At 50.7% G+C, this 18,168-nt stretch overlaps 2 protein-coding genes across 7 annotated transcripts in view, besides 7 other annotated features; one reads left to right on the top strand and one right to left on the bottom strand.

The window, feature by feature from the left end:
* SLC46A1 (solute carrier family 46 member 1) lies at positions 1,354 to 13,304 on the top strand. 6 transcript variants are annotated; one of them, XM_017024110.2, is made up of 6 exons: positions 1,354 to 1,489; positions 1,949 to 2,059; positions 2,478 to 3,330; positions 5,625 to 5,708; positions 7,180 to 7,336; positions 8,233 to 13,304. In XM_017024110.2, exons 2-6 carry the CDS (start codon positions 2,054 to 2,056, stop codon positions 8,288 to 8,290), a joined length of 1,158 nt encoding a protein of 385 aa, XP_016879599.1. In that variant the 5' UTR covers positions 1,354 to 1,489; positions 1,949 to 2,053; the 3' UTR covers positions 8,291 to 13,304. The 6 variants fall into 6 exon arrangements, with proteins under 6 accessions (XP_016879599.1, XP_047291235.1, XP_047291236.1 ...); XM_047435279.1 differs by lacking the exon at positions 5,625 to 5,708; NM_080669.6 differs by lacking the exon at positions 1,354 to 1,489 and having other exon boundaries at positions 1,734 to 2,059.
* Positions 1,553 to 1,892: a silencer, noted in NCBI's record as "silent region_8340". NCBI's record gives its function as "represses an Ori minimal core promoter by ATAC-STARR-seq in GM12878 lymphoblastoid cells {active_cell/tissue: GM12878}" and the evidence as "EXISTENCE:reporter gene assay evidence [ECO:0000049][PMID:35858748]".
* Positions 2,093 to 2,252: a silencer, noted in NCBI's record as "silent region_8339". NCBI's record gives its function as "represses an Ori minimal core promoter by ATAC-STARR-seq in GM12878 lymphoblastoid cells {active_cell/tissue: GM12878}" and the evidence as "EXISTENCE:reporter gene assay evidence [ECO:0000049][PMID:35858748]".
* Positions 2,720 to 3,445: an enhancer, noted in NCBI's record as "H3K27ac-H3K4me1 hESC enhancer chr17:26731519-26732244 (GRCh37/hg19 assembly coordinates)". NCBI's record gives its function as "activates a minimal SCP1, AML or CMV promoter by ChIP-STARR-seq in naive H9 embryonic stem cells {active_cell/tissue: H9 hESC(naive)}" and the evidence as "EXISTENCE:reporter gene assay evidence [ECO:0000049][PMID:30033119]".
* Positions 3,897 to 18,168, bottom strand: part of SARM1 (sterile alpha and TIR motif containing 1) — a 32,356-nt gene continuing 18,084 nt past the window's right edge. The window contains exons 8-9 of the mRNA NM_015077.4: positions 11,920 to 12,041; positions 3,897 to 11,789 (exon numbers count right to left, since the gene is read on the bottom strand). Of these exons, the coding sequence (NP_055892.2) occupies positions 11,660 to 11,789; positions 11,920 to 12,041 (252 nt within the window). The 3' untranslated portion in view covers positions 3,897 to 11,659. The remainder of the gene's footprint in view (positions 11,790 to 11,919; positions 12,042 to 18,168) is intronic.
* Positions 5,075 to 5,817: an enhancer, noted in NCBI's record as "OCT4-NANOG hESC enhancer chr17:26729147-26729889 (GRCh37/hg19 assembly coordinates)". NCBI's record gives its function as "activates a minimal SCP1, AML or CMV promoter by ChIP-STARR-seq in naive and primed H9 embryonic stem cells {active_cell/tissue: H9 hESC(naive and primed)}" and the evidence as "EXISTENCE:reporter gene assay evidence [ECO:0000049][PMID:30033119]".
* Positions 9,361 to 9,450: an enhancer, noted in NCBI's record as "active region_11926". NCBI's record gives its function as "activates an Ori minimal core promoter by ATAC-STARR-seq in GM12878 lymphoblastoid cells {active_cell/tissue: GM12878}" and the evidence as "EXISTENCE:reporter gene assay evidence [ECO:0000049][PMID:35858748]".
* Positions 10,215 to 10,898: an enhancer, noted in NCBI's record as "H3K4me1 hESC enhancer chr17:26724067-26724750 (GRCh37/hg19 assembly coordinates)". NCBI's record gives its function as "activates a minimal SCP1, AML or CMV promoter by ChIP-STARR-seq in primed H9 embryonic stem cells {active_cell/tissue: H9 hESC(primed)}" and the evidence as "EXISTENCE:reporter gene assay evidence [ECO:0000049][PMID:30033119]".
* Positions 11,582 to 12,265: an enhancer, noted in NCBI's record as "H3K4me1 hESC enhancer chr17:26722700-26723383 (GRCh37/hg19 assembly coordinates)". NCBI's record gives its function as "activates a minimal SCP1, AML or CMV promoter by ChIP-STARR-seq in naive H9 embryonic stem cells {active_cell/tissue: H9 hESC(naive)}" and the evidence as "EXISTENCE:reporter gene assay evidence [ECO:0000049][PMID:30033119]".

Below are 18,168 nucleotides of genomic sequence, written 5' to 3'. Positions count from 1 at the left end.
CTCTCTCTAGGGGACCACAGGTGGGGGCAGCTTGCAGGGGGAGGTTATTCAGTTCACTAGTATCTAGCCAGCACCTACCCATCCTGAGTCTCGGACTCCTGGCTCAGGGGAGGTGGGGTAGCTAACAAGCTCCAACAGGCCCAGGCACAGTCACAGTGGCCAGAATTGGAGCCATCCATCCTCCCAAGAATCAGGCCTGTCAGGACCTGCCTCCAGAAACCCACTCAGCTGCTCTGTTCTCAGGGAAGGTGGCCTTTCCTGATTCTGCTCCCCCTACCTCCAGCCCCTGAATTAGCACCCTTGGAGTTCAAAACTATTTTCCACGGTTGGAATTTTGTATCAATTAGTAGGATTCTTTGACTATTTTTCCTCTCCCACCATTCTAGAAACTAACGGGCCTGGTGAGGGCTTTGTCTATTTCCTTTCCTGTTGTGGTCCCGGAGTCCCCCAGCACAGTGCCTGGCACGTAAGGGGCACTCAGTAAATGAGCTGAATGAATGAAAGATAGGGGAGTAAGGAAGGTAATGCTGTTCCTTTTTACAGGCAATAAAACAGAGGCCCAGACAGGGTCTGACCTCCTCAGCAGCAGAGCAGGTGACTGCCTTCTGGCCTAATTCCTATAATGGGAGCCACCCAGGAGCATAGGTTCACACCCAAGGACCTCCCAGGCCCTCCCCCATCTTCTCTAAGGGAACTGCAGAGCCAGGCCCTGCCTGACCCCAGAAACAAGACTAGTTTCCCAGGAAAAGATCCTAGGGCAGGAGTGGAGCAAGTGACAGCTTGTTTTTTATTTTATTTTTATTTTATATTTTTTGAGACAGGGTCTTGCTCTGTCACCCAGGCTGGAGTGCAGTGGTGCGATCTCAGCCCACTGCAACCTCTGCCTCCTGGGCTCAATTGATCCTCCCACCTCAGCCACCCGAGTACCTGGGACTACAGGTATCTGCTACTACGCCTGGCTAATTTTTGTGTATTTTTTGTAGAGACAGGGTTTTACCATGTTGCCCAGATTGGTCTCGAACTCCTGGGTTCAAGCGATCCATGCGCCTCAGCCTCCAAAAGTGCTGGGATTACAGGTGTGAGCCACCACTCCCAGACGTGACAGCCTGTTAATAGCAATAATAGCACTTTGAATATACCAGACACTGCTTTTCCACAACTTTTTGAGACATGTTTTGTTAGCAACTCCATTTTACAGATGAAAAAACAGAGGCTCAGGGTGGTAAGTGGCATGCCGAAGGTAGTGGCAGAGCCTAGGTGCTCCAACCCAGGCAGCTGGGCTCAGCCCACTCCGATCCTCTCCAGCTGCCTCTCTGTTACAGCGCAGAACATCAGCAGCATCAGGAGTCATGTGCTCTTCCAGCTCTGCCTTGAGTACCCGATGACCTCGTTTCCTCAGCGGTAGATAGCGATGGTTAATATTGGCTAGCCTGTAGAGTTATCGGGAGACCAACGCACAAAAAGGGTTTAATACCGTGCCCAGCACATAGTAAGTGGTCAATACATGTTAATTGTTGATATTCTTGTTATCTGTGGTGTGTCTGGGCCGGGAGGGAGGGCTGCAGGGCGGTGTCTACGCACACTTTACAGGTGAGGTCATCCCGCGGGCTGGGGGTGCCGGGCCCCTCGCTGGCCCACGCCCAGCCAGGTGCACCCGCGGCGAGAGTCCGGTGGCCTCAGGTCACAGGCCCCTCCCCGCCGGACATTTAAGGAGGGACGCCGGGCGCAGGCGCAGACAGCGCAAGCCCCACGCCACGCGTCGCTGGTCCCAGGCAGCGAGTCGCTCGCGCGCCCCGCCGCCCGCCTGGCGACAGCTCCGCCGCGCACGCACATGGAGGGGAGCGCGAGCCCCCCGGAAAAGCCCCGCGCCCGCCCTGCGGCTGCCGTGCTGTGCCGGGGCCCGGTAGAGCCGCTGGTCTTCCTGGCCAACTTTGCCTTGGTCCTGCAGGGCCCGCTCACCACGCAGTATCTGTGGCACCGCTTCAGCGCCGACCTCGGCTACAATGGCACCCGCCAAAGGGGGGGCTGCAGCAACCGCAGCGCGGACCCCACCATGCAGGTAGCGGGGCGGCGAGGAGCCTGGCAGGTGGAGGGCCCTGGTCTGGAGCGTGGGGGCAGCGGAGGGGCGGGGCCTGCGTAATGGTAGTGGCGGGTAACTGGAGGGAGGGTGCATTTTGGATGGTGGGCGGGACCAGAGCAAAGGGGCCTGACCGAGAACCTCAGCGGGTGGGATGCGAAAAGCTGAGCTAAAGTCTGGCCTTGCAGGTTAACAAAAGGGGGGGGAAAGGAAAGGGAATGGGGCCTTGGTCCATGTCCTTCCCCCTCTCCACTGGCAGATTTTGAAAGCTGTGCTAAGATTCTCTGAGGTTTAGGGCTCCAAAGGAAGTCCTCATCCCTGTAGCTCCCGGGATGGCGAGGATTTGGGGATTGTGGAACCCAGAGTGAGGAACCGCACCCTGGTCATTGTGCCCCTACAGGAAGTGGAGACCCTTACCTCCCACTGGACCCTCTACATGAACGTGGGCGGCTTCCTGGTGGGGCTCTTCTCGTCCACCCTGCTGGGAGCTTGGAGCGACAGTGTGGGCCGCCGCCCGCTGCTAGTGCTGGCCTCGCTGGGCCTGCTGCTCCAGGCCCTAGTGTCCGTTTTTGTGGTGCAGCTGCAGCTCCACGTCGGCTACTTCGTGCTGGGTCGCATCCTTTGTGCCCTCCTCGGCGACTTCGGTGGCCTTCTGGCTGCTAGCTTTGCGTCCGTGGCAGATGTCAGCTCCAGTCGCAGCCGCACCTTCCGGATGGCCCTGCTGGAAGCCAGCATCGGGGTGGCTGGGATGCTGGCAAGCCTCCTCGGGGGCCACTGGCTCCGGGCCCAGGGTTATGCCAACCCCTTCTGGCTGGCCTTGGCCTTGCTGATAGCCATGACTCTCTATGCAGCTTTCTGCTTTGGTGAGACCTTAAAGGAGCCAAAGTCCACCCGGCTCTTCACGTTCCGTCACCACCGATCCATTGTCCAGCTCTATGTGGCTCCCGCCCCAGAGAAGTCCAGGAAACATTTAGCCCTCTACTCACTGGCCATCTTCGTGGTGATCACTGTGCACTTTGGGGCCCAGGACATCTTAACCCTTTATGAACTAAGCACACCCCTCTGCTGGGACTCCAAACTAATCGGCTATGGTTCTGCAGCTCAGCATCTCCCCTACCTCACCAGCCTGCTGGCCCTGAAGCTCCTGCAGTACTGCCTGGCCGATGCCTGGGTAGCTGAGATCGGCCTGGCCTTCAACATCCTGGGGATGGTGGTCTTTGCCTTTGCCACTATCACGCCTCTCATGTTCACAGGTAAAGTGTGTGGGCTCAGGGACAGCTTGTCCCAGAGGCACTGGGTAAGAACTGGGGGCCGGCCACTCACTGCCCCCAGATGTGGTTCATTCCTGTGTCTTTGGAAACATAGTTATGCCCCCAGCCTGCACTGGAGAACAGACAACTAAGAAATCCCTCAAAAATGCCATCTTTGATACATGGAAAATATAGACCTTCAGTAGCTAAAGTAATTAACCCACTGTTATCAACCATTAATATTGTTAGTAATATAGAGCAAAAGACAAAAGTGTGGCTCATACACTAATTGCTTTACCCCTTGGCCTCCCACCGCCTATTCATATGTTCTTAAACAAAGTCCATGCCATTAATGCCTGGTACTCACTTCTCTGATAAGAATCACAGGACCTACCTCAAATACCCTTAGTCAGCTTCTTTGGGTTTTTTAAAAACCAGTCTTCTCGGACCACAGATATGAAATTCCTGCTTCAGTTCCTCTTCTCCTCTTTCTCCTTCTCCTTTCCCTCCTCACTTCCTCCCCTTCTTTTTTTGATGGGAGAGGGTCAACAGGCCAGTAAATGAGGAAGTTAACTTTTTAAAATTTTTATTTGATTGATGTATTTAGAGACAGGGTCTCGCTTTGTTACCCAGGCTAGAGTGCAGTGGCACGATCATGGCTCACTGCAGCCTCATCCCCCGGGCCCAGATGATCCTCCCACCTTGGCCTCTCTAGTAGCTGGGACCACTGGTGCACATTACCACACCTTGCTAATTTTTGTATTTTTTATAGAGATGGGGTCCTCACCATTTTGCCCAGTCCAGGTCTCTAACTCCTGAGCTCAAGGATCCGCCTGCCTCAGCCTCCCAAAGTGTTGGGATTACAGGCATGAGCCACCGTGCCCGGCTTTAGTTAACTTTTTTTAAAGGGACAGATTTATTTTGATAGAGCCCTAAAATGTGCTGTGTATAGTCAACAATACAATAATCACAGATTTCTTAACTCAACTGCTTGTCTGACAATTAAGCAGAAGGGAACCTTTCCCTCCTGCTGATGGCCCTGGGGGATGCAGAGATGATAAAGATGCTGTCATTGCTCTGGGTCGGGGGGAGGTCTCAACAGAGTGGGATTTGAGGGGCCTGACACTGCTAGGGTCCCTGGATGCCTCATCGTATACCTTCTTTGGAGGATCCACTGTCCTGTAGGAGTTTGCAGTTTTGCTGAGGAGTCAGCAGTCGCACAGGGAGAGAAATGGTTATGAAGAAAACAGGAAGCCTGTAAGTAACTGAATGCAAAGGGAAAAGGAACTCCCATTTGCTGTGTCCCTATGCCATGCTCTTCATAGATGTTACCTTTTTACCTCATGTATTGGTTCCCTGAGATTGCTGTAATGACATACCACAAACTTGGGGGCTTAACACAACAGAAACATATTCTCTCACAGTTCTGGAGGCCAGAAGTCCAAAGTCAGTACCACCGGGCTGAATGGAAGCAGTCAGCAGGCAGTGCTCCCTTGCAAGCCTCCAGGAGAGAACGTGTTTCTCATTTCTTCCAGCTTCTGGGGCTGCTGGCATTCCTTGGCTTGGGGCGGCCATCACCAGTCTCTGCCTCTGTGCTCACATTGACTCTCCTCCTCTTTGTGCCTTCTCAATTCTGTCGGTGCCAAATCTCCGTCTGCTTTCCTCTTATAAAGATATGTGTGACGGCATTTAGGGCCCAACCTAATCCAGGATAACTCTGCTCTCTCAGGAGGCTTAACTGCACACCTGCATAGACTCATTTTCCAAATAAGGTAGTATTTACAGGTTCCAGGGCTATGAATCTGATGCCATTGGGCACCATTATTCAGCCTCCTATGCCTCAGAACCATCCTGTGATGAAGGCCTTATTATCTTCCTCATACAGGGAGTCAGGATCAGAGAGGGTAAGTACCCCAGGCCACACAGATAATATGTAATGGCATCAGGTTTTGAACTCAGGGCTGACTCCAAAGCCCATGCTTGTTTTCTGTGCCCTGCCATATCCCTACTAAGTGCCAAGTGGGTGGGTGATGCCTGCTGTGACCACAAGAGGTTCAGACAAGAAAGCAATCAATGGGAATTAGCATTCATTCATGAGAGCTAGCAGGTGGCCAAGCCCAGACAAGGGCAGTCTCCATTCCTCCTTGACTACTGTCTTCCCACCCTCACCATCAAGGAAGTTCTTCCTGGGTCTAACCTAAGCCCCACGTGGGGTATGGATAGGAGCTCTGCTGCCTTTCCCTTGGACGCCCCTCTCCCCAGCCCCATTTTCCTGATGAGTGTTTGTTTCTCCACAGGATATGGGTTGCTTTTCCTGTCATTAGTCATCACACCTGTCATCCGGGCTAAACTCTCCAAGCTGGTGAGAGAGACAGAGCAGGGTGAGTGTCAGAACCCACCTGTGTCTGGTTCCTCATGTCCAGTGCTGCCCGAAACGGGCTGATGGGCAGCCATGGCTGGGGGAACAGCTTGCCTTCCCCCCTCTCACCCTGGAGAAGTAAGTGGCCAAAACAAACACATTTCTGTGAAATTGCCCACAATGGGCAGAGGATCATGCCACCTTGGATTTTCAAACCGCAGAGTTGGGATTTGCAGTCAGCAGAGCACAATTATGTTCTTTCTAGATAACCAGAGCAGAGGATTTACTCTCTGCAGACCTCAGCTTTTCCGTCTGTAAGATGGGTGTGGTGATGCCAGAGTTCCCTGTTTCTCTGGGGTCAGCGTGTACAAGCCCAGAAGTGAACAACCTTGTGACATGGGTTTCATTTTCCACAGTTGACAGATAAAGAAACAGAGACCCAGGGGGTTACATTGGCTCACCCAAGGTTACTCAGTAAATGGTGGAGCTAGGATGCAAACCTACGTCTGTGTTTAAAAGCAGCTGGTCTCAGGATCTGGGTTTTAGTCCGAGCCCTGCCACAGGCCTGTTTCTTCATCTGTGATGTGGGTGGTTTGCTTTTGATGACATCACAGACCCCTCTAGATGTGACAGAATTTAATCTCAACTTCTGTTGGGTTGTTGCACATTTTGTAAACTGTGGGTTCTCCTGGTATATCTATAAAGAACAGCTTCTCCAGCCTCTGGGTCTTTATGCCCCAGTCTGGAAACATTCATCTTTTTCCATCTGTCCTGGAATGAGGATCTGATGATGACAGAGACTCTGGTGCCATACAGAGCCCACTGTGGGTTCTGGTGTCCCCAGAATCCATGTGTCTTCATTCATTCACCTAAACTTTTTTTCCCAGCACTTTCTCTGTGCCCAGAGATGTCAAGAGAAACAGGAGAAAAGAACAGCCCTTACTAACTAGCTACTTCCAGGGGACCAGGCCCAGTGATGGGTGATTTCCATGTGAACTTAATGTTGCTCACAATCTAGGAAATAGGTATTATCCTTATTTAGCAGAAGGAGGAACAGGAACCCAAAGGATAAGAAGCTATTCAGTGGTGACACCGCTATGAATATTGGAACTGATCAGACCAGCAGTTAATCCCAAACAGGAGATGATTCCAAAGAGGATAAACCAGAAAAAAGCCATTTCCATCAAGCTTTCATCAGACAATATCACATGTACTTTTTTTTTCTTTTATGTGCTGGGTTCTGTCAGATCACATGTACTTTTAATGTGGATTTAATAGCAGCCATTTGTTTAGTAGCCCCTCTGTGCCAGCTACTGTCCACATATGACCTTACTGAATCCTTGTCACAGTACATGATGTAGCAGGATTTACTGGTGAGGAAGGGGAGACATAGGTTAAGTGACTACTCCCGGTCACACAGCTGTGAGGTGGTGGTGCCAGAGTTGGAATATGGCCCTTTCGGACTCCAGAGTATGGTATTTATTTCTTCACAGGTGCTCTCTTTTCTGCTGTGGCCTGTGTGAATAGCCTGGCCATGCTGACGGCCTCCGGCATCTTCAACTCACTCTACCCAGCCACTCTGAACTTTATGAAGGGGTTCCCCTTCCTCCTGGGAGCTGGCCTCCTGCTCATCCCGGCTGTTCTGATTGGGTAATGCAGGGCCCTGAACCCATGCTCATAATGGAGCCCTTTCTCTTAAAAGTTTCCTCTTCTCCTCCCAACCAGAAATGGCAGCTTCATTCCTGGAATCCTTACCCTCTGGGTGTCTTGTCCCAGGTTGCCCCTCTCCTTGCAGATGGCTGCCTAATCCTCCAGGAGCCATTTTCCAAGGGCGAGATGGCGAGCTAGGTGGAGGAAGGATCAGGCTAACATTGCTGCTTGGCAAGGCTGTGTTCTCTCTCCCAGTTCCCCTATTTCCCTCCATTCCCATTTTATAGATGGAACTATGGCAGCAGAACTGTGTTAAAGGGAAGGCCAGGAAGCTTTGTCAGCTAGTTGTGGCTGGGCCACAGGCTAGCTTGACCCGCTGACTTTTTCCTGTATGATATTAAGAATTATATTTCATGGCCGGGCGTGGAGGCTCTTGCCTGTAATCCCGATCCTGTGGGAGGCTGAGGCAGGAGGACCACTTGAGCCCGGGAATTCAAGATCAGCCTGGGCAACATAGCAAGACCTTGTCTGTATAAAAAATTTAAAAAATCACCCAGGCATGGTGGTATGCACTGGTAGTCCCAGCTACTAAGGAGGCTGAGGCAGGAGGATCACTTGAGCCCAGGAGTTCAAGGGTACAGTGAGCTATGATTATGTCACTGCCCTCCAGCCTGGACAACAGAGCAAGACCCTGTCTCTTAAAAAAAAAAAAGTTATTTTCCAGAGCCATGTCCCTGGATATTGTCCTCCAGCTCTCAGCTTCTCAGCTTGGGGAAGGAGGAGGTTCAGGAGAGCTACCTGGACCAGCCCACCCCAGTAAATCCTGTGTCACTTCTCCAGACAGGCCTTGAGGGTTCCCCACATGAAATCCAAACTCTCTCTCTGGTCTCTCACAGGATGCTGGAAAAGGCTGATCCTCACCTCGAGTTCCAGCAGTTTCCCCAGAGCCCCTGATCTGCCTGGACCAGAAGACAGAGGGCAAGAGGAGCAAAGTGAACACCAAGCAACTGGAGGTCTGCAGCTGGAAGCCCAGCCCACAGCAGGACAAGCAACTCTTGTCTAAGGGCAGTGCTCTCTTTGGACGAGGTAGTCAAGAGAGACCAAGGCACCACCCCATCCACAGCTGACCCAGCCTCTGTCTAGGATCTAGAATCATAACCCACACAGGCCCACTGCAGGACAGGTGGCAGAGGAGCTATTTGGGACAGGAGTCAGTTCTCCCTTTCTGCTATCCATCACTTATAACCCCACAGGCCAGAGGAGAGGTCCTGAGAGAGGTGACACTTCAGGGACCAGAGGCAGCACGAGGGCTGGCATCTCTCCTTCCAGCCCAAACTGCACAGCCCCAACCAGGTTCCCAACACGTGTAGCAGTCATCAGCCATTCCTTAACAATGAATGTGGTACCTGGTTAGTGCCAGCCTTGGGAAGGAGGGAGGGAGGTAAGAGGGGCTTGGTGATCTCTGGAGGAAGAGTGTTGCCTTTGCTGTGGTTGGGGAATCGATCCTTGGCTATGGCCTACCCACTCCCCTGGCTGAAGAGTGCCAATCATTACAAATCAGCTTCAGCAAACTGAAACAAACCTTCTGGTGCCTTGGGCTTTGGGGCCCTCTGTTTTCCTGCTCCCAGTCTGCCTGCCATACGTTAGACAACAGAAGCTGCTGGGCTGGGCAGGAGCCCTGAGCTGCCTGGTGGATTGGTACCAAGTGGGGCCAGCCAGGGCTTCTACTGACTCGCTGTGCAACCTTGAGCAAGCCCCACTAGGAACGGCTAGATCAGCAATGCCCCAAATTGTTGAATCGTGGTGATCACATTTGGATGGACAAGTTAGGAAACTTAGCTGATTCTCTGAGATACTTCCCACTTCCTCATACATTCTACAATGAGATGCCTCTCTTCATGGGCCTGGGGAAAGGATGAATGAGTGTGGCTGGACTTTTGACCTTTAATGTCCCTGAGCAGTTCTTGGCCCTTGGGGAGAAGTAGGGGGAGGATCTGGCTGACTCAGCCCCAACCGAGGGGTAGCAGCTGCAGCCCAGCCAAGCAGAACACCCTGGCCCTACAGACCTGTGTCTGAGCAGGCTTTGGAGGAAAGGCCACTTCTGAGTCCTCTGTCTCAGGAGAAGCCAGGCCTAGGTGCTTGACCTGGTGATCTGAGCTGTGTTTGTCCTAGTATGGGTGGCAGTCACCTCTGAACACACTGGCCTTGGCTTAGAGGAGGCTTGTGACTTCAGCTGTTCCAGCTGGGGCTGGATGCTGGACTCTGATTCCCTCAGAGAGACAGAAGATCGGGCAGAGGTCAACCAGAAGGCCACACAGGGCAGTGGACAACAGTGGAGGGTATACCAAATAGAAATAAAACGCAGGAAACCTCTCTGAATACTGCCCTTGGGGACCTCAGGAGGGAGTGGGACTGATTGGAGACAAAGAGCCAGAAATCATCCCCTGGAGATACTCAGACACTGTATTGTTATTGGCGCTGTCCTGTGAGGGCAGTGTCCAGGCTGCCCTGCTTGTCATATCCATGCCCTGGCTCTGGCCCCGGTGAGCACTTGTGCTGCATGAGGAAAGGAGGATCAGGTGGGGTCAAAACCAAAGCATCGAGGCTGGCACTGGCCAAGACAGACTCTGGCAGGGAGGGGAGTGGAAGGAAGGAGCCCCAAACCTGGAGTGAGACCTTTGACTTTCTGATGATGTGGCCAAGAACTAGGAGTCACCTGGCCAGCACAGCCAAGAGTGGGGCTGGGGGCGCAGCCAGCTTTAAGGTGTCAACACCTGGCCCTTGCGGGGAAAGAGCCTTCAGCAGCCCCCACGGCCTGGAGCCTGGGTTTATTGGAGGGTGCTTTCTTACCCTCTGAACCCAGTGGAGGAGGGGGCAATGGGATATTCCTGCTCTGTATGGCCTCTGGGTCAGCTTTTTGTTGCAAAATCCTATCCCCCGCTGCTAGATTCTTTGAAGCAAGGGAGAAGCAATAGCCCAGCCTCAGAATGATTCTCAGGAAAGCAATTCCACTGCCAGTGGACTGGGTGCCAGGAGGCCTAGGTCTGGATCTGGGGCTGCCACTAATGACAGGAAAGTGGGCTTATCCTCAACCTTTCTGAGCCTCAGTGTCATTATCTGTAAAATGGGGATGATAATACCAGGTAGAGTTGCTCTGATGACTGGAGACCATGGAGCGGAGTGTTTGGGAAATGGCAAAGATTTGTGAGGGCTTCGTGCTTTAGAGATTTGCTACCCTTAACCACCAGCATCAGCTCACCTGGGAATCTGTAAGAAATGCAGAGTCCTAGGCCCCACCCCAGATCTCCTGATTTTAACAACATTCCCAGGTGACTTGGATGCATGTTAAAGTTGGAGAAGCTGCCCTAAGTGACAACCCTTTGCCTTTTCAGGACTTTGCCTCTTTCCACAGAGCTGCAGGTTCTGTCTAGGCTGCTTTTACTGCCATGGGGGCTGCCTGGTCCCTGAGTAAGCAGTGGGTAGCCCTGGATGGCTGAGGGGCTGGGGAAGCCAGCTGGGCCAGACCAGGAAGGAGCCTGAGGCACAGCACCAAGGCATGGGGTAGGGTGGGCTTTGAGGCACGGCCTCCCCATGCCCAGACCCAGGCCCAAACAGGAGGCTCCTGTGCACCAGCAAGTGCAGCAAAGCTGGCTGCAGTGACAAGGAAGTCAGAGGGAGGGCTGGTTTGCCTCAACCCTCGCCCTGGATGTGGCAAAAGATACCACACCGAAGGAAGCTGTAGGGGATCTGGGACTTAGTCAGGCTAGCTAAGGGCACTGAGTGATTACAGGGCAAGGCCACAGAGCGGCAGGAAGTTGTAAGTGCAGGGGCCAGGCACAGTCTGAGTGGAGAGCCATGATGGCACTCATCCCTGGCTGGCTCCTGGGCCCAGGCCCTTGCTCAGAATACAGTGCCCAGGCCCGCCTGGGCATTGCCTTAATTCCTGTCTGAGGCTGCCTTCCGTCATCCTCCTCAAGCTGACTGCTATCAGCAGGAGAAGGGAATGCAGAACCACCCCCACCCCAACTCCAGTGTCTCCAGAACTGAGCAGGGACCCTCCCCATGACGGAGACAGACAACCCAATGGCAGGGCCTGGGGGAGTTCTAACCTCCCGTGCCCAAGCCTGACTTCCCTTCCCTCTCCAGATACTGAGGAAAGTGGGTTGGAGGTGGGCCATGAGGGTGGGGGACAGGGGGAGGGAGAGCCATTTCCTAAGAAGAGCCCAGGTTGTCTCAGCCCAGGGAGACTGGTTTCAGGAGCTGTTCCTTCAGAAAGGACGATGGAAATGGAAGTCACAGCAGGGCTGGGGAACTGGGGACTGGTTAGGTTGGACCCATGGGTGCAGCACCCTCCAAACTGGTGTCAGAGCCTGCAGATGAGTCCCGGGAGGAGCGGCCCTGCAGGAAGCGGATGATCTTCTCAATGGTGGCCTCCTGGTATTCGTGGGACCACCTGTGGGCACAGGAGCCAATGTGGTTCAGACAGCTGGGCAGAGGGAGCTGCTAGTCAGCTGTTTGCCCACACTCTGCCTGTCATGGTGATTTGTACCCTACCCCCCTGGTCCCAGGGCCCTGGGGCTCACTTGATACCGTTGAAAGTAAGCACAGCCTGCATGTCCTCAGGCAGGACCTGGGGCTCAGGCCACTCGAAGCCATCAATGATGGGCACAATGTTCTTGCCGCAGCTTAAAGCAGTCACAATCTCCTGGAGAAAGAAAGGAAAGGAGGAAGATACCCCTGTACCCATCTAGGGACCCTTGTAGCCAGGCAGGTGCTGGGAGGCCCACTGGCCCGAGGCTGGGCCCAGGGCAGGACACCAGTCCTGATGTCCACCTTGATGTCTACCTTAACCCTTGTAGTGTAATAAAAAATAAATATTTTTCCTTTGCCCAGAGTTCCTGGCACAGAGCTGCTAAAACCCTTGGAATCTCTTGAGTGATGAGTGTCTTTGTATGCTAAAGAGATGATTCCCCACTGGGGGCCCGGGGGGTGCTATGGGGGTAGCCTAGATAGTTTCAGGAAGAGGGCTGGTCACCAGGGAGACCAGGGCATGACTAGAGGATTGGAACTTTCAGCCCCACCTCCCAGCCTCCAGAGAGGTGCTGGAGATTGAGTTCAATCACCAATGGCCAATGATTTAATCAATCATGCCTACATAATGGAACCTCCATAAAAACCCCCAAACAAGGGGTTTTGAAGAGCCTCCAGGTTGATAAACAGGTGTAGGTGCTGGGAAGGTGGTAGAAGGCATGGCATCCACACCTCCACCCTCCATACGTAGAGATCCTATGTATCTCTTCCATTTGGCTATTCTTGAGCTGTGTCCTTTATAACTGTGAAATTAAATAATTCAGCTGGGCATGGTGGGTCACGCCTGTAATCCCAACACTTTGGGAGGCTGAGGCAGGAGGATCACTTGAGCCCAGGATTTTGAGATTAATAATATTATTTATTACTATTATTCAAGCTTTGTTAAATCAAACCTAAAGCTCTTGGAACTTTAAGTTATTCTGAGCCTTGACAGGAATTGGTCTCTGCAGCCTGAGTCATGGGGCATGCAGCTGCAACTTCCACCTATTTTTTTTTTTTCTGTAATTACTTAGGAAGACCAAATGGCACCAGAGATAAGACTCCCTTAGATCCCCACTTAGATCACCACCCTTTCTCAGGGGGTAATAAAGTCATCTTCCTTGGAATGTAGCAATCTATAACCAATCAAAGCACTGTAACATACGCACTGGTCTTGTATGGAAAATGTTGTAATCCTGCTAAAATTCCTCTCTCTTTGCCTGTGGAAGTGAAACCTTAACTTCTCCAGTTTGGAATGCTCACCCCATGCCTTTGGAGTCAATGCTTACTGGGTGGCTATTCTCAAACTTTGCACTCAAAGAAACTCTATACTTAGTCTTATTTTCTGAATCTCATTATTTAAGGTTGACATAATAAACAACTAATAGTAAGTAAAGTGCTTTCCTGAGTTCTGTGAGTCATTCTGGCAAATTGAATCTCGGGGTGTCATGGGCACCCCCGAATTTGTAGCCAAATCAAACAGAAATGTGGCAGCCTGGGGGCCTGGGCCTCGTGACTGACATTTCAGAATTGAATTGAATTGCGGGATACCCAGTTGGTGTTGGCAAGCTGGAGAATTAGTGGTTAGTGTGGGAAAAACCCCAAACAATTTGGTGTCAGAAGAAAAACATCACACTCCTGCGTACAGGTTGATCCATCATGCGCCCTGCCAATTGTACTCCTTACTTATTTCTCAAATCCACTATTTTTCCCTACCTCCACCCCACTACCACCCTCTTCCAATCCCCATTATCTTTAAGCCCCCACCAGGTCTTTCCTCATCCACGCTTGTCTTCTCTAATTCACTCTCCACATTGCCCTTTCATGTAGCTAATATTTGCAAAATGCACATCTGACAAATTAGGTCCTGTCACCCCCTACTTAAAATTCTTCAAGACTTTGCATGGTCTTAGAATAAAGTCCAAACTCCTTCATGTGGCCTGTGAGACCCTATGTGGTTGGCCACAGTCCACTTCTCAAACTCTACCCCTGCCCTGTCCTCCCAGACACACAAAATAAGCTTCCTTGTCCTTCCCCCTTGATAATGCCCATTCATTTTTCTGATCTGAGCTCAATCAACTCTTACACAGGGCAGTTGTCTCCCACTGCCCTGACCAAGTCAGTTCCCCTATTATAGGCTCTGCAGAACATATTATAGTTGCAAATTTTAATTAATTAATGGGTAAATTACTCAGTATTTGTCTTCTCTGCCAGACATGAGGAGGGATCATATCTATTTTTCACTGACCTTATATCTCAGCATCTTTCACAAAGCCCTTATAGTTAGCCCTTGCTAAATATTTAATAGATGGATGAATGAATGAATGAGAAAACATAGCACAGCAGTTAGGGCTGCACTCTGGAATCATCAAATCGGGGTTTGCACTGAGTCTCTGACACAGGCTCTACGACCTGAGGCAAAAATAATAGGTTCTCAAAGTCTCTGTTTTCTCTTTTCTTTCTTTCTTTTTTTTTTTTGGCGGGGGGCAGGGGAACAGGATCTCACTTTTTGCCCAGGCTGGAGGGCAGTGGCACCATCAAGGCTCACTGCAGCCTCAACCTCCTGGGCTCAAGCCATCCTCCCACCTCAGCCTCCCAAGTAGCTGGGACCACAGGCGTGTGCCACCATGTCCGGCTAATTTTTTGTATTTTTTAGTAGAGATGGGGTTTCACCATGTTGCCCAGGCTGGTCTCAAACTCCTGGCCTCAAGTGATCCTCCCACCTTAGCATCCCAAAGTGTTGGGATCACAGGCCTGCACTACCACACTCGTTCCTCTGTTTTCTAATATATAAAGCAGGATTAATGATAGTCCCTGTCTTCAGGATTGTTCCATGGAATAAGCGCAACATTCCATGGCAAGTAATTAGAACAGTGCTTTGCATGCAGTGTATGCTTAATACGTAATAGGTGTTATTATTTCCTCTTCTGTAAAGTGGGGATAATAAAACCTACCTCAAAGCGTTGTTCTGAGGAATTATTTGCTAGTAATCGGGTTCCATTAAGTGCTTATTGAATGTTTTTCTTCCTCTCAAGAGGGAACCAAAGGGATTTTACTTTTTTGAGTGCAGTTCACTTGTGGTTTTTCCCTATTGATTACCCACTAATGTGGCTTCAGGGAAAGGAGTTTTAAAACCAGAGGCAATTAAGCACCAGAAACAACCAAAGAGGGATGACGGAGCCTCTGGGGCCGGTCCAAGACAAAGGCTCCTCTCACCTCTTTGCCATCTGCTGGGACGACAAGGGGTGCCAAGCATTCTTGGGAAGTGGAGCCTTCCTGGGGAAAGAACATGCGTAACTTCGTCCTTGACTGGCTTCCTGGGGAGCCGCTCCATTTTACAGATGGAGAGAAAAAAGCCCAGAGAGGAAGGGATTTCCTCCTAAGCCACACACACGCCCAGCCCACGAGGGGCCGGTCCTCTGACTCAAGCCTCGAGAGTCCAAGTCCAGGCTGTTTCAGCCAAGCCCTGCTGCCTTTCTGCTGAGCATTGGAATGAATCCTGAGCCTGCAGCAATTTATTTGGAAATTTTTAGAAATTTGTTTCATCCAGAATTATACAAAACCAAAGACAGTACAAATTATTCATCGCACAGATTCAGAGGCTGGCCAAGAAAGGGATAATGGCGGCCGTGTGTGGTGGCTCATGTCTGTAATCCCAGCACTTTGGGAGGCCAAGGCGGGCGGATCACGAGGTCAGGAGATCGAGACCATCTTGGCCAAGATGGTGAAACCCCGTCTCTACTAAAAATATATATATATAAATTAGCTGGATATGGTGGCGTGTGCCTGTAGTCCCAGCTACTCAGGAGGCTGAGGCAGGGGAATCACTTGAACCCGGGAGGCGGAGGTTGCAGTGAGCCGACCAAGATCTCACCACTGCACTCCAACCTGGTGATAGAGCAAGACTGTGCCTCAAAAAAAAAAAAATAATTAAATAAATAAAAGAAAGGGATAATGGTTTGTTCAGGATCACCTAGCTGGTTGAGAACGAAAACAATTAGAGTCAAGTCCTCTGGCTGGGCACGGTGGCTCATGCCTCTAATCCCAGAACTTTGGGGAGCCGAGGCAGGCACTGAACTCCAGGCTTGAGCTCAGGAGTTCGGGACCAGCCTGGGTGACATAGCGAAACCCTATCTCTACTGGAAAAAAAAAAAAAAAAACGGAGTCAAGTCCTCTAACCTGGTAAATCTACTAGATATGTATGGCTCTCCCAGGCATGGCATCTCAGCTTCATCAGTATCACTTGTCTGCTTAATCATTGATTCAATTGTTCTATAAACTCCTCTACAGCCTCAGCCTCTCTCTCTCTCTCTTTTTTTTTTTTTTTTTTTTTGGTGCAATTGCATAGAGCCTCCTTTGTACCATGCATGGTTTTAGGCACCAGGGACACAGATGAATGAGGCAAGGTCTGAAGTCTCATGGAGCTCACAGACACTCTTTTCTTTCTCTCAAAAGGCTGCCTGCCACGTGCTCTGGGTTATCAGCCATGTTCTTCCTGGATGCTCAACTGCCCCAGTGCCCCTCCCCAAACCAGGCCTAGTACTCAGCCCCTCCTACATGGCCTCTGGGGCTTGACTCCACACTCCATGTGGACTGCATTCCAGTGTCAGAGCCTTCATCCTAAGACCCACCGCCCTGGCATCTTCTCCTTCATGGGCTCCTTGATTTCCAGTGCTTTAAGCACAGGTCTTCTCCTGCCTTTAGACACTGCTTTACCTGGTTTCCATGGTTCTTATCCAGCCAGTGGTGTGCTGCTAACTTTATAGTAACTAGCTATTCATGGGGGAAGAAAACCCAACCAGCCAATCAACCAAACTAACAAAACTTTGATTTGTAGTGGTTGCCAATTTCCTTGGTGTAAATACTCCCACCATGGCTGATGACAAGCTACCAACATGACATCACTGGATGTGGAGTTGTGAAGAGATACAATCATCTCTGGTGTCAACCGAATCCAGCCCTACCCCATCACCTCCCCTCACACCCCCTCAGAGCTGTGCCATAGAATGCAGTGTGGATCTTGGGAAAGTGATGAGCTTTGGAGTCAGATAGATGGAATTTGAAGCCTAGCTTTTCTGATTTCTACACTAGTAGTGCAGCCAGGGGAACATTATTCTACTTTTCTGAGCCTCAGTTTCTTCATCTGTGATATGGAGAAAGCAGTACCAAGATGTATGTGGGCTTTCAGCACTGTTCTCCTCCCTACCTTTATTCCTTTGCTCATGCTGTTACCCTGGCCTGGGATGCCTTCTATTCCACTTACCCAGATTCTTAAGATTCTTCTCAAGACCTGCTTCCTCCATGAAGTCTTCCCTGATTATTCCAGTCCTTTGAGGACTAAACTCTGATTTTTTTTTTTTTTATCTTGCCCAAATTCCTACCTAAGGAGCCTAGGGAGTCATGCCCTACAAACCATAAAGTCTTATCGGAGGAGGTTTTAATTTTAACCCTATATAGCGTGGTCTGCTTTCTAACCTGACTCTAGCATAACATCACATAATAAGGGAGGAAATAAAAATATTTTAACCCCAAATATATTTCCCTGCCATATCTTGAAATTGCTCCACAAGTTTGTCTCTTGTGGGAAAAGGCCACATTCTATAGAGAATCCCCTTCCCCCCATTTTTTTCTTTTTCTTTCCGGACTCAGGAGATAATCAACAAAGAGCCAGGCACCCTTATAAGTCTGATAAGAAACATTTTATAACCTACTCCCTCTGAAGTCTGCCCTGAGAACTTCCTCTGCACAATAAAACTTGGTCTCCACAACCCTTTATCTTAACCTAAACATTCCCTTTCTATTGATCCCAGGTCTTCAGATAAACTCAATTAATTATCAACTGGAAAAATTTAAAATTTACCTATAGCCTGGAAGCCCCTGCTTTGAGCTGTCCTGCCTTTCTGAACCAAACCAATGTACATCTTAAATGTATTGATTGATGTCTCGTGTCTCCCAAAAATGTATAAAACCAAACTGTGCCCTGATCACCTTGGGCACGTGTTCTCAGGGTCTCCTGAGGGCTGTGTCACAGGCCATGGTCGCTCATAGAGTCTGACTCTTTTCGTTGACACCTTGATGCTCTCTCCCTTCTCCAAACCCCTGTGGCAAGCAAGATGTTTGCTTACCTGGCTCAGCATTTACACCAACTTGTATGCGATCTAGTCATTTTGAGACAGGGTCCCACTCTGTTGCCCAAGCTGGAGTGCAGTGGTGTGATCTCCGTCTTCTGGGCCCAAGCGATTCCCCTGCCTCAGTCTCCTGAG

The sequence above is a fragment of the Homo sapiens genome, chromosome 17, assembly GCF_000001405.40.
Source record: "Homo sapiens chromosome 17, GRCh38.p14 Primary Assembly".
Lineage (NCBI taxonomy): Eukaryota > Metazoa > Chordata > Mammalia > Primates > Hominidae > Homo > Homo sapiens.
The sequence above is the reverse complement of the archived record's forward strand: the minus strand, read 5'-3'. Positions and strand labels throughout refer to the sequence as shown.